Source organism: Homo sapiens, chromosome 16, assembly GCF_000001405.40.
Source record: "Homo sapiens chromosome 16, GRCh38.p14 Primary Assembly".
NCBI lineage: Eukaryota > Metazoa > Chordata > Mammalia > Primates > Hominidae > Homo > Homo sapiens.
Window position 1 is genome coordinate 3,143,134 of NC_000016.10, and position 18,666 is coordinate 3,161,799.

At 56.2% G+C, this 18,666-nt stretch overlaps 4 non-coding genes and 2 pseudogenes across 5 annotated transcripts, besides 6 other annotated features; 4 read left to right on the forward strand and 2 right to left on the reverse strand.

The window, feature by feature from the left end:
- Nucleotides 1-1,157: 1,157 nt before the first annotated feature.
- Nucleotides 1,158-6,813, forward strand: CASP16P (caspase 16, pseudogene; annotated as a pseudogene). Its single transcript, NR_132322.1, has 10 exons — nt 1,158-1,191; nt 1,320-1,514; nt 1,610-1,698; nt 2,535-2,645; nt 2,785-2,952; nt 4,125-4,347; nt 4,670-4,786; nt 5,191-5,265; nt 5,803-5,906; nt 6,562-6,813. The product of NR_132322.1 is annotated as a caspase 16, pseudogene (transcript).
- Nucleotides 6,614-6,663: an enhancer, noted in NCBI's record as "active region_10306". NCBI's record gives its function as "activates an Ori minimal core promoter by ATAC-STARR-seq in GM12878 lymphoblastoid cells {active_cell/tissue: GM12878}" and the evidence as "EXISTENCE:reporter gene assay evidence [ECO:0000049][PMID:35858748]".
- Nucleotides 7,264-7,613: a silencer, noted in NCBI's record as "silent region_7120". NCBI's record gives its function as "represses an Ori minimal core promoter by ATAC-STARR-seq in GM12878 lymphoblastoid cells {active_cell/tissue: GM12878}" and the evidence as "EXISTENCE:reporter gene assay evidence [ECO:0000049][PMID:35858748]".
- On the forward strand, nt 7,541-7,613 carry TRR-CCG1-3 (tRNA-Arg (anticodon CCG) 1-3). Its single transcript has one exon. It is a non-coding gene; the product is annotated as a tRNA-Arg (tRNA).
- On the reverse strand, nt 9,475-9,546 carry TRP-AGG6-1 (tRNA-Pro (anticodon AGG) 6-1; annotated as a pseudogene).
- TRR-CCT3-1 (tRNA-Arg (anticodon CCT) 3-1) lies at nt 9,767-9,839 on the forward strand. Its single transcript has one exon. It is a non-coding gene; the product is annotated as a tRNA-Arg (tRNA).
- Nucleotides 9,795-9,934: a silencer, noted in NCBI's record as "silent region_7121". NCBI's record gives its function as "represses an Ori minimal core promoter by ATAC-STARR-seq in GM12878 lymphoblastoid cells {active_cell/tissue: GM12878}" and the evidence as "EXISTENCE:reporter gene assay evidence [ECO:0000049][PMID:35858748]".
- Nucleotides 14,262-14,311: a silencer, noted in NCBI's record as "silent region_7122". NCBI's record gives its function as "represses an Ori minimal core promoter by ATAC-STARR-seq in GM12878 lymphoblastoid cells {active_cell/tissue: GM12878}" and the evidence as "EXISTENCE:reporter gene assay evidence [ECO:0000049][PMID:35858748]".
- On the reverse strand, nt 14,272-14,344 carry TRK-CTT3-1 (tRNA-Lys (anticodon CTT) 3-1). Its single transcript has one exon. It is a non-coding gene; the product is annotated as a tRNA-Lys (tRNA).
- Nucleotides 15,332-15,551: a silencer, noted in NCBI's record as "silent region_7123". NCBI's record gives its function as "represses an Ori minimal core promoter by ATAC-STARR-seq in GM12878 lymphoblastoid cells {active_cell/tissue: GM12878}" and the evidence as "EXISTENCE:reporter gene assay evidence [ECO:0000049][PMID:35858748]".
- Nucleotides 15,682-15,821: a silencer, noted in NCBI's record as "silent region_7124". NCBI's record gives its function as "represses an Ori minimal core promoter by ATAC-STARR-seq in GM12878 lymphoblastoid cells {active_cell/tissue: GM12878}" and the evidence as "EXISTENCE:reporter gene assay evidence [ECO:0000049][PMID:35858748]".
- On the forward strand, nt 15,789-15,860 carry TRP-TGG3-3 (tRNA-Pro (anticodon TGG) 3-3). The gene has a single exon. It is a non-coding gene; the product is annotated as a tRNA-Pro (tRNA).

The following is an 18,666-nucleotide window of genomic DNA, read 5'->3' on the forward strand; positions in this document are numbered from 1 at the left end:
AGTGGTGGGACCCTCTTGCTGCGTGTTGGGGATCTGGAACTCAAGGCTGCCCCAGGCTGAGTCCCTTGGAGGAGGGGCTGACAGCGGGCTTGCCCTTCCCACCAGCCCCTGACATCCAACTTCTCCCTACCAGGAGCCCCAGGCCGGGACCCACCAAGGGCTGGTGGGTGCGTGGTCAAAACTAGTGATCATCCAGGCACGACCCCTCCTTCCACCCATGCTGGTTCCTTCTCTTTCACCTGCTAGTGGCCTCAGGGCCCCTGGCTGAGGGGAGGCGGGGGCCGGTGGACAAGACGCTCTGGTCCCTTGGTAACAGGTGTGCATGTGCCAGCCCTCTCTGCCCCTAGGCCTTTCTTAGCCAACCTTCCATGCACACATCATCCTGCGGTCACTGTCATGGTCTCCGTTTCCCGTAAGAAGCAAGCAAGGTCTCGCTGTGGACAAGGCTGATTCCAGTTGGTGATTTTTACCTCTGGGGGCCTGGTGCTGTGTGCATGCGTGTGGCGGGTGGCCGGGATGGTACAAGGACTTCTTGGTGGCGGTGGCTGGCTCCAAATGGAGACACTCGGGTGTAACGAGATCAGATAAGCACGTAGGCCAGGAGCTAAGAATAGGATTGAGCACAGGTTCCTGGCTCGGGTAGGGGCATGTCAGTGCCAGCAAAGAAGTCACCAGCAGGAGCCAGAGAATGAAGCCCAGGCTGGGAGAGCGGGGCCAGGACCCAGGGTTCCAGGGATGGGGCAGAGTCCAGCTCAGCTCATAAGCAGAGCTGATAGTACTCGTTAGGGTAGAGGGCAAGGGTTAGGACCCAGGGCACTGAGAGCCCAGGGCCAGGAGGTGAGCTCCGAGCTTGGTGCTTGGAGGAAGCCCCGTCTCGCCCTATGGCCTTCCTGGTGGCTGGGACCCTGCGGCTGGCCACGCAGATGGCAGACACTCGAGACAGCCTGGGGAGAAAGGTAGCAGGAGGCACCGCCTAGCCCAGCTGCTCCTGCCTCCCTGCTGAGCCCCAGCCCAGCCCAGCCCAGCCCAGCTCTGGCCTTGCCTCCCCAGGGGAAGTATGACGTCCAGGGTCCAAGGGCAGCCCTGATGCTCAGCAGCCCTGGGGTGGCGGCCGCTGTAGTCACTGCCCTGGAGGACGTGTTCCAGGCCCTGGGCTTTGAGAGCTGCGAGAGGAGGGAGGTCCCGGTCCAGGTGAGCCTCTGCCTCTTACATCCACCCTCAGGCCCAGCACCGACCCCTTCCCCACTCTCCCCTGACCCAGAATCTCCTCCCCACCCAAAACCTCCCCGGACTCAGGTCGGTCTCACTCTTGCCCCTAGGGCTTCCTCGAGGAACTGGCTTGGTTCCAGGAGCAGCTGGATGCCCACGGGCGCCCTGTGGGGTGTGCCTTAGTGGCCTTGATGCCCCCAGAGGGCAGCTGAGGCAGCCACAGCAGCTGGTCCGGGAGCTGAGCGGCTGCCGGGCCCTGCGGGGCTGCCCCAAAGTCTTCCTGCTGCTCTCAAGTGGTCCTGGGTGTGAGTGAGCTGGGTCAGGATCCAGGAGCTGGGCAGGGACCCAGGGGCAGAGCCTCGGGCCTCACTGCAGGCCAACATGCTGCTTCTCTACCCAGCCTCCCTGGAGCCCGGAGCCTTCCTTGCTGGCCTGAGAGAGCTGTGTGGCCGCTCTCCTCACTGGTCCCTGGTGCAGCTGCTGACGAAGGTGGGGACGCTGGAGGGGGAGGCCCAGGGAAGCGGGGCTGGTCCTGCTGTCTCCGCTGGTTCTGCTGTGCCCCCCTAAGCCAGTTACAGTTAGATTCATTCACTTGTATCCTCCCTCCGATTCATTCTACAAACCTCCTTTATTTTCTACAGAAGTGGTCTCAGCCCCTCACCCTCAACTCGGGACCCCTGACAACCCACTCAGGATCCCCGACACTCGACTCCTCCCAGCTCCATGCCTTGGCCCAAGCAGTTCCCTCTGCCTGCTATGCCTTCCTGTTGTCCCGGGAGCCCTGCACAGTCCTCTGCAGGCTGCCAGCGATGCCCTTCCTTGCATCCACGCTTGCACTTCAGGCTGCCCCTTTCTACACCAAGCAGTGGCTGTCCGCCCTGTTAGATCGCAGGACCCTGGAGGCTGGGACTGGGAATGCTTCAAGTCTGGTCTCCAAGGCTGAAGGTCTCACTGTGTAGTTGGGTGGCCCCTGGGCAGCCCTGGGGATGAGGGGGCCCCAGCTCTCCTCCACAGATCGCCCAGCAGGGTAGTGCCCACCCCGTGAGTCTTCCCGACAGGCCCAGCCCCGCTCTAGGGAACATCCCCACCTCTCTGCGCACTGATCCCGGGGCAGGGGTTAATGGTGTGGCCACTGTCCACTCGAGGCCATCCATGCCCAGGGAAGTCCATAACCTTGAGCCTGAACTGGAGCCTGGGCCCTGCTTGAGGCCATCCTGCCTGTCTGTCCTTTGCTGGCCTCCTCCTGTCTGCATTCTGGCAGGTGACCCTGAAGAGACTATAGAAGCCACAAGCCTGGCTGAGTCTTTTCTCGGCCCCATCCCCAGCTCTTCCGCAGGGTGGCTGAAGAGTCCGCAGGGGGCACCTGCTGCCCCGTCCTTCGGAGCTCCTTGAGGGGGGCACTGTGCCTGGGAGGCGTGGAGCCCTGGAGGCCTGAGGTGAGGGGGGCAGGGCAGGGATCCAATCACATGGCCACAGTTTCCAGTGGGACAGAAGCTTAGGGGGGGCCCCGGCCGGGGAGGCCAGGAGCTGGAGTCCTCTCAGGCCACTTTAGATGTGTCTTAACCCTCTCTGCAGCCGGCCCCCGGTCCCAGCACACAGTATGACCTGTCCAAGGCCAGGGCTGCCCTCCTCCTGGCTGTGATCCAAGGCCGGCCTGGGGCCCAGCATGACGTGGAGGCGCTGGGGGGCCTGTGCTGGGCCCTGGGCTTTGAGACCACCGTGAGAACGGACCCTACAGCCCAGGTGAGGGGAAGCCGAGAACTTCCACTGGTGCTCTGAAGGAAGACCACCCCTCCCTAGAAACCTGGGGCCTCTCTCCATCACTGGCAGGAAGTGCACCACAAGTCTAACCTCTGTGCTCCCTGTTGCCTGCATCTGGCCCGTCACTTCCCTGCCTCTGGAAGCCTGGTCTCCAGGGTCCCCGAGGCCTTCCTCACTGGCTGGTTCTCTGGCCCCCCCGCCCCCTCCCCAGCTCAAAGCTTTAGCTCCAAGTCTTGGTTTCCCTCTTGGCTCCCAGCAGCCCACTCCACTCTCCTCACACCTCTCAACTTCTTGGTGCGGCTTCCCCACGAGGGCAGGAGGAGAACTGGCTCCAGGAAGCTGGGTCTCTATGTCACCTCTAAAGAGGCCATGCCAAGGCCTTGCAGGAGGGAGTTAGAAAAGGGCTTCTGGCCGGGTGCAGTGGCTCACGCCTGTAATCCCAACGCTTTAGGAGGCTGAGACGGGTGGATCACTTGAGATTAGGAGTTTGAGACCAGCCTGACTACCATGGTGAAACCTCGTCTCTACTATATAGACAAAATTAGTAGGGCATGGTGGTGCGTGCCTGTAATCCCAGCTACTTGGGAGGCTGAGGCAGGAGAATGGCTTGAACCCAGGAGGCCGAGGTTGCAGTGAGCTGAGATTGTGCCACTGCACTCCAGCCTGGGCGACAGAGCAAGACTCTGTCTCAAAAAACAAAAACAGGCCGGGCACAGTGGCTCACGCCTGTAATCCCAGCACTTTGGGAGGCCGAGACAAGCGGATCACGACGTCAGGAGATCGAGACCATTCTGGCTAACACAGCGAAACCTCATCTCTACTAAAAATACAAAAAATTAGCCGGGTGTGGTGGCATGTACCTGTATTCCCAGCTACTCAGGAGGCTGAGGCAGGAGAATCGCTTGAACCCAGGAGGCAGAGATAGCAGTGAGCCGAGATCGCGCCACTGCACTCCAGCCTGGGTGACAGAGCAAGACTCCTTCCCAAAAAAAAAAAAAAAAAAAAAGAGGGCTTCCTCCCTGGACCTGTGAGTGGCAGGCGGTGGGAGGCCAGGTGGGGCAGGGTCTGGGAAACCTTGTCAGCCTCACAGAGGGCAGCCAGTGGCTGGGGAGGCGGTGGCTTTGGCCCAGGCCTCAACATTGTTCCCACCCCAGGCTTTCCAGGAGGAGCTGGCCCAGTTCCGGGAGCAACTGGACACCTGCAGGGGCCCTGTGAGCTGTGCCCTTGTGGCCCTGATGGCCCATGGGGGACCACGGGGTCAGCTGCTGGGGGCTGACGGGCAAGAGGTGCAGCCCGAGGCACTCATGCAGGAGCTGAGCCGCTGCCAGGTGCTGCAGGGCCGCCCCAAGATCTTCCTGTTGCAGGCCTGCCGTGGGGGTGAGCGGCCCGGCCTCCTACTGCCCTCACTTTCCTCGGCCAAGCTTCAGCCCCCGGGACTCACTGTCTACCTTCTCCAGGGAGCCCGGGTACCTGCCCTTCCCTGCCCCCTCTCCTGTCCTCTCCTAGAGGTCAAGTCCACGACCTTGAACCCTTAACTCTCAACACCTGTCATTCAGCGCTCTGAATGTCTCCAGTCTGGCAAGCCTGCCCTGGAGCTCTGGAGTTGGGTTCTCACCTTGACCCCACATTCACACTAGACCCCTGAGCACCCCCAGGTATCCCCGGAGTGAGACTATCTGCCTCTCCCCACCCTCTTCAGGAAACAGGGATGCTGGTGTGGGGCCCACAGCTCTCCCCTGGTACTGGAGCTGGCTGCGGGCACCTCCATCTGTCCCCTCCCATGCAGATGTCCTGCAGATCTACGCTGAGGCCCAAGGTGGGTTCTGCCTTCCTTCCAGGGCCTGGGCTTGGGCAGGGCTGGTTGTGGGGACCGTCCAGAGAGCATCTCCAGGGCTCTAAGCTGGGGTATGGCTGCCACCTGCATCCTCTGTTTGCCAAGACAATGGGAAGAAAAAAAATCTTCCTAAACCGCAAGGGCCTTTGGGAAGTGGGAGCTTCTTCCCCTGTTGGAGCCTGGCAAGAACCCTGGAGTCGGTAAGGTCAAATAGCTTTTCTGAGGTCACAGCTGTTAAGTGGCTGGGCCGAGCTTTGAACTTCCGTCTGTCATTCCTGCCCTGCACTCTTTCCACCTCCCTGGGCTGCCCTTAAGCCACAGATGGGGAGCTCCCGGGGCTGATGGAGTTCCACGATGTTGATCACTGGAATTGATTCCTCTTGCAGGCAGCTCCTGCAGGGGCACCCCTCCAGGGAGCTCTGACCAAGCAGACATCCTGACGGTCTACTCAGCCGCAGAGGGTAAGGAGATGGGTCATCGGGAGCCTGTGGTTACACAGGGCCCAGCTTCCTGGCCTAAGATCTGGAGTAGCCTTAGGGGCAGCTAGGGCTTAGGGTTGGGGCACAGAGATGCCAGCCCAGCTGTGGTCCAGCCATGTTCCCTACATGGGTTAGGATGTGTAGTAACAGCAGTGATGGTGAGTGCTGTGAGGCGCAGCTGTGCCAACCACTGTGTGTGCAGGTTTCCTCTAGGCTGTGAGTTCCACGAGGCCAGGGTAGACCTGCCTGCCCCAAGGCCCTGCTCAGTGTCTGGCACATAGTAGGTGCACAGTAAATGTTTGTTCAGTAGTGAATCTCTCCATAGGCTCACCTCTGCAAATACCTAGCAACAACTTGTTCCAGATGCAAGAAGTCCCTGCTCCCTGCCCTGTTCTCTTGCCTGATTCCTGGGTCCTGCCTCCTTGTACCCCACTTTCCACCAACAATAGGACCCCTGGGATTGGAAGGCAGAGGGTTGGGGCCTTGGTCTGATGCTCTGGCCCTGATCCCCTGACCTAGGCTATGTGGCCTATCGCGATGACAAGGGCTCAGACTTTATCCAGACACTGGTGGAGGTCCTCAGAGCCAACCCCGGGAGAGACCTTCTGGAGCTGCTGACTGAGGTGTGTTGGGGGGTTCCAGGGTGACAAGTGGCAAGGAGCTGGGTTTGCCCTTCTCCCCAGCCCTGGTATTCTGATCACCTCCTATGAACTCCATTGGCGAAGGAGGGATCCTCTGCCCTCAATACTACAAGATAACCAAACGCAGGATGGCCGACGCTGCACAGATGCCATCCACTGCAGTTCTTAGTCACACGTACTGCAGTCGGGTGGGGAGGAGGACACTGCATGTCATGCGGGGCCACCTGGGCTTGTGCTCAGAGCAGGGTGAACCTGCAGGGCCAGTGGGAAGCTGGCTTTGTAGTGACAAGAGAGTGAGATGCCCCCTGGTTCCCACGGGCAGATGTGGTTGGTTGGTTTGAATATTTCCAAGGCCTGTCAGGGGGCTGAAGTCCATTAGGGTGACGACCAGGTGGGGTGCAGCTGGTCTGCTGAGAGGGGACCTAGGGGGTGGGAGCCTGTCCTGCTGGGTGGGGACATGTCTGGCCAGAGCAGAGGAATTCACCGTTAGGCCTCTGGAGCTCTGCGAGCCTCAAAGATGTCCAGGCAGTCCTTGAAATTTTAGGCCTTGCAATGTACCAAGCCAGGGGCTCTCCCCTGGGGCAGGCTGAGCCCCGGAGGGCTGTAACCCCGGGCGCAGGCTGGGTGTGGTCCTCAGGTCAACAGGCGGGTGTGCGAGCAGGAGGTGCTGGGCCCCGACTGCGATGAACTCCGCAAGGCCTGCCTGGAGATCCGCAGCTCGCTCCGGCGCCGGCTCTGCCTCCAGGCCTGAGGGTGCGGCGGCCACGGGGGCGCTGCTGAGACGGTGGCCAGATCCCAGCGCCATTCTTGCCTCCATCCACCCCCCATCCCCCCGGTTTCCTCATCTGAGAGCGAGGCGTGGCAGCGTGGGGGTGGCCGTGCAATAAATATCTGCCGTGAACAGTGCCTGTTCTCAAGGACGTGTGAAATAAGTGAGATAATGTGTGTAAAGCGCCTGGCACTGCATATGGACGCAATAGTGTCCATGGGAACCGAGTTGGGGCCTGTGCCCAGCTTCCGGGACTTAGGAACCCAACATGGGCTGGACTGGGCTGGGCTGGGTTGGCAGTTCGGTTATGGGAGCGTCCAGGGGGAGAGGGGTCCCAGGAAGAGGACGCATATCCCTCTCCCAGACATGTCCCTGTGTATGCGCGCCCCACCTCCACCCCGCGCTGGGCCATAGAAACTCAGGAGACACGGCCTCCGCTTTCCAGGCGGCCAGAATAAAGTCTGGGGCCAAAAGCCTCTGAAACACACCTTTGCAGGTTCACCGTGATGGAGCAAGCACAGGGGCTGGGCAAGCAGCTTGCAGCCCCTGACCCAAAGCGGCGGGAGGCACATGGGGGAAAGCGCTCCCAAACGGCGTCTCGGAGGGGCCTGCTGCGGGGAGGGTGGGGTAGGGCGGGCTCGCCAGGGCTCGAACTCACAGTCCCGGGCCCGCGGCGGCGGTTTCCACCCAGCAGCCTCAGCGGCCCGGCGCGGTGGCCCAGCTCGGAGTCCCGCCCACCGGGAGCCTCGGAAGGACCGGCCTCCCCTCACTCTAAGCATGCGCGTTAAAGCGACAGCATAGGCTATAGAAAGCTTTATGAGAATAGCTGGGAGCCATACAGCCGCAGGGCCGCGTGGCCTAATGGATAAGGCGTCTGATTCCGGATCAGAAGATTGAGGGTTCGAGTCCCTTCGTGGTCGTTGCCATGTTAACGTTTTCTTCCAGCTCCACTTAAAATTTCTTCACCTGGGACTGCACCCTGGGCGACTACGACACTCGAACTGAGTGCGCCGGTCGCTCTCCCCTCACCCCCGTAGGAACACTGGGACCTCGCCCTGCGCCTCCAGTCGCGAAGCTAAGGACCCAGGGCCAGAATAGCAGCGAGGGCGACTTAGAGAACGCCGGCAGGGCCCTGGCGGACTGCGGAGCTTGAAGCCAGAGAACGCAGGTCCTGGGATCTGGTAGGGGATTGACTTCACAAATTAACGTTCAGGTGATGGAAACCGTGACAGACGCGGGGCTGGGATTGCTTGCTGTGAGGAGTTGCCCCAAGGGATCAAAGGACACCTGTAGTTTTTTGTTTTTGTTTTTGTTTTTTTTTTGAGACGGAGTTTCGCTCTTGTTGCCTAGGCTGGAGTGCAATGTCTTGATCTCCGCTCACTGCAACCTCCGCCTCCCGGGTTCAAACGATTCTCCTGCCTCAGCCTTCCGAGTAGCTGGGATTACAGGCATGCGCCACCAGGCCCGGCTAATTTTTGTATTTTTAGTAGGGTGGGGGGGTGGGCGGGGGTGGGTTCTCCATGTTGGCCAGGCTGGTCTCGAACTCCCGACCTCAGGTGATCGTCCAGCCTCGGTCTCCCAAAGTGCTGGGCTTACAGGCGTGAGCCACCGCGCCCGGCGACATGTGTAGTTTAATTGATTATTGTGATGAAAAACTTTGTATCAACTGATCATGGGGTAACAAAGTAAAAAAGAAAACGATTATAGTGGTGATGAGCCGGGCGCGGTGGCTCACGCCTCTAATCCCAGCACTTTGGGAGGTCGAGGCGGGCGAATCATGAGGTCGGGAGTTCCAGACCAGCCTGACTCACATGGTAAAACCCCGTTTCTACTAAAAATACAAAAATTAGCGGGACGTGGTGGCGCGCGCCTGTACTCCCAGCTACTCAGGAGGCTGAGGCAGGAGAATCGCTTGAACCCGGGAGGCCGGAGGCTGCAGTGAGCCAAGATCGCGCCACTGCACTCCAGCCTGGGCGACAGAGCGAGACTCCGTCTCAAAATAGAAAATAAATAAAATAAAATAAAATAAAATAAAATAAAATAAAATAAAATAAAATAAAATAAAATTCAAAGAGTATCTCCAGGATTGAGTTAATATTTCGCCGAGGGGAAAAAAAATGTCTACCAGCGGAACCCGAGTTTAGTCCGGGTGCCGAGCAGCGCCTCTTGGGGTATCCTTCCACGGGGTGGGGTATCCTTCCACGGGGTGAAGGCTGCGGAGAGTCGCAGCTGCAGGCATGGCCTCCGGTCGGCGGACGCTGGTGACCTGGCGTCGTGCAGGGTGTCACTTTCTCCTTTAATTTTTTTTGATGTTTCAGTGGTTTACGAAGGTATTTGTTTTTGGTAGAGACGGGGCGCTCACTATTTTGCCCATGATGGTCTCGAACTCCTGGACTGAAGCGTTTACTAGGTATTAAAGGAAAAGAACGTCATTAAAATACAGATTTTTTAAAAAAGGAAAATAACACACGTGTTGGGGCAGGAAAGTAAACACCCAACGTGGCGATCCTGAGATTAACACCTAGCCAGCTGGGGATGTAGAGGGCGGATTTTGGAGGGTCATTATTAAGAGGCTTCCGACCACTGGGCGGCACCCTTGGTCTAACGGACAATGCGGGGGAGGAGGACGAAGACCGACACTTCCAGAAGCGGCGGGCTCGGGATGAGGAGCCAGTTGCTGAGCTGGCATCGCGTGCCCCTTCCCATACACTCTACCCATCGCAAGTGCATCATTCGCTACTAATTACCCCTAGACTTGGGTTGTCTCCTGAGTGGAGACGACGGCTTGTGAAGGAGTTGATCCAGGCACCTCTCGCACCCTAAGCGAAGATCATACCCCTAGACCAAAGAGCGGAGCCAAAAATCTGACGTTCGGTGTCTTTCAGGTCCCTCTGCACGTGCGCCGTCTCTTTGGGGTCCCGAGGATGCTCAGGAGCGGACGAGATCTGAACCGAAGCTTGGATTGCAGTGGAGGGGCGGGAGAAAGGCCAGGGTAGGACGGGCAGGCTGTGCAGGAACCACCGCGGAGTGATGGAGAAACTGGTCTAAGACAAGCGACAGCGTTTTGTTATCCGCCCCGGTGGCCTAATGGATAAGGCATTGGCCTCCTAAGCCAGGGATTGTGGGTTCGAGTCCCACCCGGGGTAAAGAAAGGCCGAATTTTAGTGTTCCTTATCGGGCAGAAGAGTTAGAATGCGGTATACTCCAGTGGAGGTGCGGAGTTTCCGAAGGGTTACCAAAAAGGCTCTAAATCAGAAACCTCTACCTGTTTTCAAGGAAGACGAGCACAATTTCACGTTACAGAAAAAAGGAGCCGAATCTTTTACAGGATGTTAAGTACCATCCATTTAACTTGATAGAAAGGAATGATTGTTTATTTTTCCAGGTTTGTTAATTCTATTATGGTTACAAATATTTTTTAAATCCTTTTTTTTATAAACACAATTATTTACAGATTAAATTACAAGACAACTGGTTTGTTTTAAAAATCATAAAACTGAGGCCAGGTGCGCTGGCTTAAACTTGTAATCCCAGCCTGTAATCTCCGTTTCAAAAAAAAAAAAAAAGAAATCATAAGATGGATGGCGGTATAGATGAAACTACTTATCCATGAGTAGATAATGGGGGACATGAGGGGACATTGCACTATTTTCTCTCTTTTAATACATATTTGAAATAGTCCATAGTATTCTTTTTTTAAATCCATGCAATATATGATGCCATCTTCAAGGTAAAAATTTCCCGAACTACAGGACATGGTGTAAAGTAAAATCAGAAGCCGCTCTGATGGGGACCACTGCTGGAGTTTTGTCATAAATATGTATAAAAACATGGTTGGCTTTTGCCTTTAAAACCAATAATTGGCCCGGGCGCAGTGGCTCCCGCCTGTAATCCCAGCACTTTGGGAGGCCGAGGCGGGCGGATCACGATCACGCACCAGCCTGACCAACACGGTGAAACCCCGTCTCTACTAAAAATAGAAAAATTAGCCGGGCGTGGGGGCACGCGCCTGTAATCCCAGCTCCTCAGGAGACTGAGGCAGGAGAATCACTTGAACCCGGGAGGTGGAGGTTGCAGTGAGCGGAGATCGCGCCACTGCACTCCAGCCTGGGTGACAGAGACTCCGTCTCAAAATAAATAAATAAATAAATAAAACTCATAATTGGGACTCTTCTGTTTTTCCAGCTCTGGCCTGGCTTCTCCCAGTTCCCCAAACATCCTGGACCCCATCATCTCCACTGAAATCAGGGACCTCACCTCAATGGCATTACCTTCCTCACCTCAATGGCGTTACCTTCCTCACCTCAATGGGGTTACCTTCCTCACCTCAATGGCGTTACCTTCCACACCTCAATGGGGTTACCTTCCTCACCTCAATGGCATTACCTTCCTCACCTCAATGGGGTTACCTTCCTCACCTCAATGGCATTACCTTCCACACCTCAATGGGGTTACCTTCCTCACCTCAATGGCATTACCTTCCACACCTCAATGGGGTTACCTTCCTCACCTCAATGGGGTTACCTTCCACATCTCAATGGCATTACCTTCCTCACCTCAATGGCATTACCTTCCTCACCTCAATGGGGTTACCTTCCACACCTCAATGGGGTTACCTTCCACACCTCAGTGGCGTTACCTTCCACACCTCAATGGCATTACCTTCCACCATCATAGGCCACCTGTAGAGAATGGCCACCAGAGAGCTACTTAAGGAAGCTGATGCTTCAGTGATGGATTTTTTCGGGAGGCCTTGTGAAAGGGAGTGTCCTGGCCTGGTGCGGTAGCTCACACCTGTAATCCCAGCACTTTGGGAGGCCGAGGCAGGCGGATCACGAGGTCAGGAGTTCTAGAGCAGCCAGGCCAATATGGTGACACCCCATCTCTACTAAAAATACAAAAATTAGCCGGGTGTGGTGGCGCTCGCCTGTAGTCCCAGCTACTTGGGAGGCTGAGGCAGAAGAATCGCTTGAACCCGGGAGGCAGAGGTTGCAGTGAGCTGAGGTCGTGCCACTGCACTCCAGCCTGGGCGACAGAGTAAGACTCCGTCTCAAAAAAAAGAGAAAAGAGAAAAAGAAAGAAAGAAAGAAAGGGAGTGTCCTCTGGTCTTCTCAGTGGTATGCACATCATGCGTGAAAGATGCACTCCAACATTGCTTGGTGTCTTTAGGTTTCTTTCTCTACAGTTTGCCTGAGACGTTCTGGCAGCCCGGTCTCATTAAACATAGGCCACCACTGAGTTCAATTTTCAGCCAACCAACCAAGAAACCTGGTAGGGCCATGGTCAGCTGCATGAGATAACATATTAACTATAGGCTCTTTGGGATATGCACCCAGATGGATAAATTCACCAGATACAAAATCATATCCCATCCTCCTTATGATGGCTTAAAGTAGCCAAACTTGTTTTGTTTCTGTTTTGTTTTGTCATGTAGGCTGTTTTCTCCAAGGTCAACCTTTGTAGTTCAAGATTCTCAATTTTGAGTCCAATCTGATGTCACCACTTCTGCCTAATCAATGCAGTATCTTTCACACCAAAGATTTCCTAAGGCTGTGAATTCAATTTACGTTGCCATTCTGCAACATGCCTAGTTAAATGACATGTTTGATTTTTAGCAATGTCAGCCTTGTGGCTTTAAGGTTATTGTATGGTTGCCATAAATTGTCCCTGCGTCTCTGAACTTGACTTAGTCTAAAAGTTTAGAGACCTGATCTTGTCATCTTCTTTCTGTAAGCAAACCAGGGCCTTCAGAAGACTTCTTTCCACGCCATGAACTAACGAAAGTCTGTGTGGTCACCTGTGCTGCAACAATCAGGCACAGCAGCCACTGGTCACCCAGGGCACTTGCTTCAGCCTGCAACTCCTCATAATCAACCAGGCCACGCATTGCCTGATCACGATGCTGTTGTATACTGTGAATTATGTCATCTCACGTTCCATTGGTAAGGACCTCAGCACTGCATTGAAGCCAAAATTTGTTACCAAACCAATGTCCAGGTAGCAGTCAGGAAACCATCAGCTATGTTTTTTTTGTTTTTGTTTTTGTTTTTTTGTTTTTTTGAGACAGGGTCTCACTCAGTCACCCAGGCTGGAGTGCAGTGGTGTGATCACTGCTCACTGCAGCCTCGACCTCCCAGGTTCAAGTGATCCTCCCCAATCAGCCTCCTGAGTAGCTTGTACTGCAGGCACATGCTACTTATTTTTTGTAGAGACGGGGTCTTGCTATGTTGCCCAGGCTGGTCTGAAACTCCTGGGCTCAAGCAATATTCCCACCTTGGCCTCCCAAAGTGCTGTTCTTATAGGCATGAGCCACCACACCTCCCATTAGCTATTTTCACAGAATATTTAATATGACAGTTATTAGAGAGGTATAAATACTTGTTCTGGTTTTTGGAGATAGGGTCTCACTGTGTTGCCCAGGCTGCAGTGGCACGATCATGGGTCACTGCACCCGCAAATTCCTGGGCTCAAGTGATGTTCCTGCCTTGGCCTCCCTAAATGCTGGGATTACAGGCCTGAGTCATGGTACCTAGCCTAGAACCAGATTATAAGGGTGAAATTCTAAATTTGACTCCCCTGCTGGCTGGCTGGCTGGCTGGCTGGCTGGCTGGCAATGAGGACCACGTCCCTGATGGTAGGTGAGAGTCCCTGGTGTGCTGTAGCGTGCAATTATAAGAATTTTTGCCAGTGTTAAACTGGGGTGAAATAGAAGGAGAATTCCTCTTAAGGCAAATATTATGCAGAGAGGGTCCCAAATGCTCAGTTTACTGAATATGGAACGTGTATGCAAATTTTATACATACATAATTTTTATTTCTTTTTTTTTTTTCTTTTTTTTTTGAGACGTAGTCTCACTCTGTTGCTCAGGCTGGAGTGCAGTGGCACGATCTCGGCTCACTGCAAGCTCTGCCTTCCGGGTTCACGCTATTCTCCTGTCTCAGCCTCCCTAGTAGCTGGGACTACAGGCGCCCACCACCATGCCCGGCTAATTTTTTCTCTTTTTTAGTAGAGACGGGGTTTCACCATGTTAGCCAGGATGGTCTCGATCTCTTGACCTCGTGATCCGCCCGCCTCGACCTCCCAAAGTGCTGGGATTACAGGCGTGAGCCACCACGCCCGGCCAATTTCTTTTTATTATTATTTTGAGACGGAGTCTTACTGTGTTGTCCAGGCTGGAGTGCACTGGCACAGTCTCGGCTTACTGTAACCTCTACCTCCCGGGTTCAAGTGATTCTCCTGCCTCAGTCTCTGGAATAGCTGGGACTACAGGCGCACACCACCAAGCCTGGCGAAAATTTGTATTTTTTTTAAGGGCCGGGGGTCTCACCATGTTGCCTAGGCTGGTCTCAAACTCCTAGGGTCAAAGTGAGAGGATTATAGGCATGAACCACGACGCTCGGCCTCTTTTTTTTATGAAACAAGACAAAGGGGATCCTGAAGCCAGTTGGTTGGTGGAGCGTTTTGCGTTTGCCTGACCAACAATTCCCGATTTGCAAGGTATACGGAGTCACTTCCACGTTTTCTTATTTAGTTTACTTTCTTCCAAGTTGCAAGTCTAATCCATCCGACAAAATCTCACGCCCAACGTGGGGCTCGAACCCACGACCCTGAGATTAAGGGTCTCATGCTCTACCGACTGAGCTAGCCGGGCGGCTATGAGGAAAATGGTTTCCCACACCTCTGTTGGAGCTCTCCCGAACTTCCCTATTCTATATAAAATTGGTGGGGATGAGTCCTGGATCCGAGACATGAGACATGCTACATCCTGAGCGCTAGAGCCCTAAGCTCGGCGCGGACCGAGGACGCCGCCAGGCCCGTGCGGTCTGCCGTCCTTCGCGGGTGTGTGTCATATCCGCCGACCCTCGTGGGGGTGTATCCTGTCTGCCGACCCTCGTGGGCGTGTGTCCCGTCTGCCGTCCCTCGCGGGCGTGTGTCCCGTCTGCGGTCCCTTGTGGGGGTGTGTCCTGTCTGCCGACCCTCGTGGGGGTGTGTCCTGTCTGCCGTCCCTCGCGGGTGTGTGTCCTGTCCGCCGTCCCTCGCGGGTGTGTGTCCTCTCTGCTGTCCCTCGAGGGTGTGTGTTTCCTGTCTGCCGTCCCTTGCGGTGTGTGTCCCCTGTCTGCCGTCCCTCATGGGTGTGTGCGGCACCTGCAGCTCCCGGGAGCGGGAACGTCGGGGACAAGAGCTGAAGGGACGAAGGACACTGGAGATGGCCAGGGGGAAACTCGGCGTGACTCTCTCTTAGGGCTGTGTGAGGGTTTTCAAACCCTCATCCCTGTTTAGGGCCGGCAGCGAGGCCTCACCACAGGGACAAGCCCGGTAGACCTTTCTCCTCCTTAGGCTCCCAGTAAAATGCTGGGTCCCTTGCCAGTGGAAAACGGAAGAAAAGTTTGGAGCGTTTCTGGAGCCGCCCGTTTGGGAAGAAATGAACTCTGACCCCAGCTCCGGCCCGTGTATCGGAGGTCCCAGGGCTGCGAGGGTCGCCTGGGCAGAGCTCAGGCCAAGAAGGAGCTCGGCTGAGGACAGGAGCCCGGGGTCTGTGTGGGAGACGGGATCCCTTCCTAGGATGCCCGGGCTGGCCTGCTGGGAGGCGGCGGGGTCTCCTCCTCAGGGTCCTGCACTCGGGTTTCACATCGGGTGAAATTTCTGGGCTGGGGCTCAGCACGCGAGACCGCTGCCTCACGCGGGCCACACAGACCACCTCCCCGCGGGCCGCAGCCCCTGGTCACCGGCCCTCCTCTCGGTGCTGGGGCCGCCTGGAGCCGCTGGGAGCCGAGTGGCCCTCGGGGAGGCGGCGCCGCGGTGCCCAGGGTGCGGGGTCCGCCTCTGTGCGCCTGAGGGCGGGGGTCGTACAGGAGCTCTTCCCGGGGCTGGTCCCCGAGGCGCTGCACCTCCTACCAGCTTCCTGTGATCGAAACCGAAACCTCCACCTGCGCAACCCTCCCAGATGGGCTTGAGGTTGGGGTGTGGCCGGGACCCGGGCGGGGAGGGGTAGGGGTGGAGTGAAGGCGGGGTCTGGGGGGGTGCGCGTGGACGGGGAGAGTGGAACCGCGGGTGTGGACCTCCAAGTACAGACGTCAGAGAACGTTTGTCGTCCTGGCTCGTTGGTCTAGGGGTATGATTCTCGCTTTGGGTGCGAGAGGTCCCGGGTTCAAATCCCGGACGAGCCCGCTTTTTTTTTTTTTTCTGAACACCATCATTTTCTCGCGGTGAAGATTGAGGAGCTTCACGGAGTCTCGGCCGCAGGGAACTTGGTCTCTCCGTGGCAGCTGCAGGCGCCGGGGCCGATCCGACTTCCCGCTTCCGTCCGGCTTGCGGCCCCTCGCCTTGCCCGGCTACAGGAAGGACTCGCCTGCGCCTCCTGACTGGAGCCTTCCACCTGGGAGTTCTGAGTGCGCCTAAGGCCTGGCGCTGAGGCAGTGGACCCCAGATCCGGGACCCGAAAGGAGGGCAAACACCTCCACCGCCGCGTCTGCCTCTGCGGACGTGGCCCTAGATCCCGGGTGGCCATGGAACTTGGTCTGGGCGTGTAGTTTTCCTTTGAGTGGGTCGGTTCTAAGTTTAAATTTCCGACGAGCCCAGGGTTTCGAACTTCCTTCCTTTTTTCCTTCGTTTCTCTTTCTTTTCTTTTCTTTCTTTCTTTCTTTTTCTCTCTTTCTTTCTTTTTCTCTCTTTCTTTCTTTCTTTCTTTCTTTCTTTCTTTCTTTCTTTCTTTCTTTCTCTCTCTCTCTCTCTCTTTCTTTCTTTCTTTCTTTTTCTCTTTTATTTTCCTTTTTCTTCTTTTTTTGTTTTTTGTTTTTTTTGACAGTGTCTCCTTCTGTTGCCCAGGCTGGAGTGCTGGAGTGCAGTGGTGCGATCTCGGCTCACTGCAACCTCAACCTCCCAAACTCAAGGGATCCTCCCACCTCCACCTCCCAAGTAGCTGGGACTACAGGTGCTCACCACCACGCCAGGCTAAGTGTGTGTGTGTGTGTGTGTGTGTGTGTGTGTGTGTGTGTGTGTTTGTGTGTGTAAAACCGAGGTCTCGCTGTGTTCTGGAGGCTGGTCTCCAACTTGCACTCAAGCAATCTTCCTACCTCGGCCTCCCCTCACAAAGTGCTGCAATTACAGGCCAGAACCACCATGCTCAGCTGGTTCCTTTTCCTTCCAGGTCCTGAGGTCGCAGCGGCGCGTCCCTCCGGTACATGGCGGGGAAGAGGTGCGGTTCCGGGAGCCTGCGACGCCTCTGGGGAGTCCAAGCCCGGCTCCTAGCCCTTTGCCCGAGGACGGAGGAGGACCTGGGGGGCTTCCCCTAGCTGGTGGTCTCAGTTCTCCAGGGGCGGCGGAGACAGCAGGAAGCCCCAAAACCCGAGCTGGGTTTCCTGCTTGGAGTCGCAGGGTGTGGCAATGTTGAAGTTCGCCGTGCCCCTGCTCCCTATGGGAATTAGAATCCGGTCCAGGACAAGCATCGGGAAAGGGGGACAGTTTGTGACCGAGGAAACTAGGACTGATCCAGAACAGCGCAGGCAGAGACGCGCTGGGCTCATGAAGCGCGACAAAGGCCCCGACCCCTCTTCCGCTTGGCTCGTTGGTCTAGGGGTGTGGTTCTCGCTTAGGGACCACAGGGACAAGCCCGGGAGACCCAAGAGGTCCCGGGTTCAAATCCCGGACGAGCCCACACTTTAAGAACCCAGCAGGGGCTGGGCGCGGTCGCTCACGCCTGTAATCCCAGCACTTTGGGAGGCCGAAGCAGTGGATCACTTGAGGTCAGGAGTTCAAGACCAACCTGGGCAACACGGTGAAACCCCGTCTCTCTACTAAAAATACAAAAATTAGCTGGGCATGGTGGTGCACGCCTGTAGTCCCAGCTACTCAGGAGGCTGAGGCAGGGGAATCGCTTGAACCTGGGAGGCGAAGGTTGCAGTGAGCCGAGATTGTGCCACTGCGCTCCAGCCTGGGCGACAGAGCGAGACTCTGTCTCAAAAAAAAAAAAAAAAAAAAAAAGAACCCAGCAGTTTGGGAGGCCGAGGCGGGCGGATCACGAGGTCAGGAGATTGAGACCATCCTGGCTAACACGGTGAAACCCCGTCTCTACTAAAAATAAAAAAAATTAGCCGGGTGTGGTGGTGGGCGCCTGTAGTCCCAGCTACTCGCGAGGCTGAGGCAGGAGAATGACGTGAACCAGGGAGGCGGAGCTTGCAGTGAGCCGAGATCGCGCCACTGCACTCCAGCCTGGGCGACAGAGCGAGACTCAGTCTCAAAAAAAAAAAAAAAAAAAAAAAAATCAATGTTTGTGTCTGTGGCTTGTCCTTGGGGCACATGCGTCGTGGGACACAGGCTGTTTAACCAGGGAATTTTTTTCTGGGGCAGTCAGGGTGGATCTTGTCCTGAGGGACTCCTCCGAGTGACTGGAGTGGTGGTTGCATCCCGGAATGAGTGAGGCTTGTGACCTGGAGCTCCCAGACAAAACCTACTCACTCAATGGAGCGTGTCCCGCATAAGGTGAGCTTTTTACGACTGCAGATTTGCTCTCCTGCCGAGGCAAGGCTGATAGCAGTGGCTCACTTCGTTGACTAAACTAAGGAAAACTGTGGGTGGCTTTGTCTGGTAACTGGGTTCACATCCCTCATAGGACTGATTCTAAAGTTGCCTTGCTCAGAGAGAAATGAAACGGGGCCGGGATCCAGTGTAGAGAGAGCTTTGGCTGGCTGGCGGCGCGCAAGGCCGGACTGCACAGGTGGCAGGGGCGTGGTTGTCAAATAATCAAAATGATCAGGCACTTCAGGTCCCCGGGAAAGCGGGCACAGAGGTGGCCACCCCTGTTCCCCTCCTGGCACCATGATGGTCAGGACCGCCGGGAGCCCATGCCCACCTCCCTCAGCTCCCGTGGTGCGCCCGGGGGAAATGTGGTTGGAAATCGCGGCGGCCGGGCATGGTGGCTCACGCATGTAATCCCAGCACTTTGGGAGGCCGAAGTGGGAATCGCTTGAGCCCAAG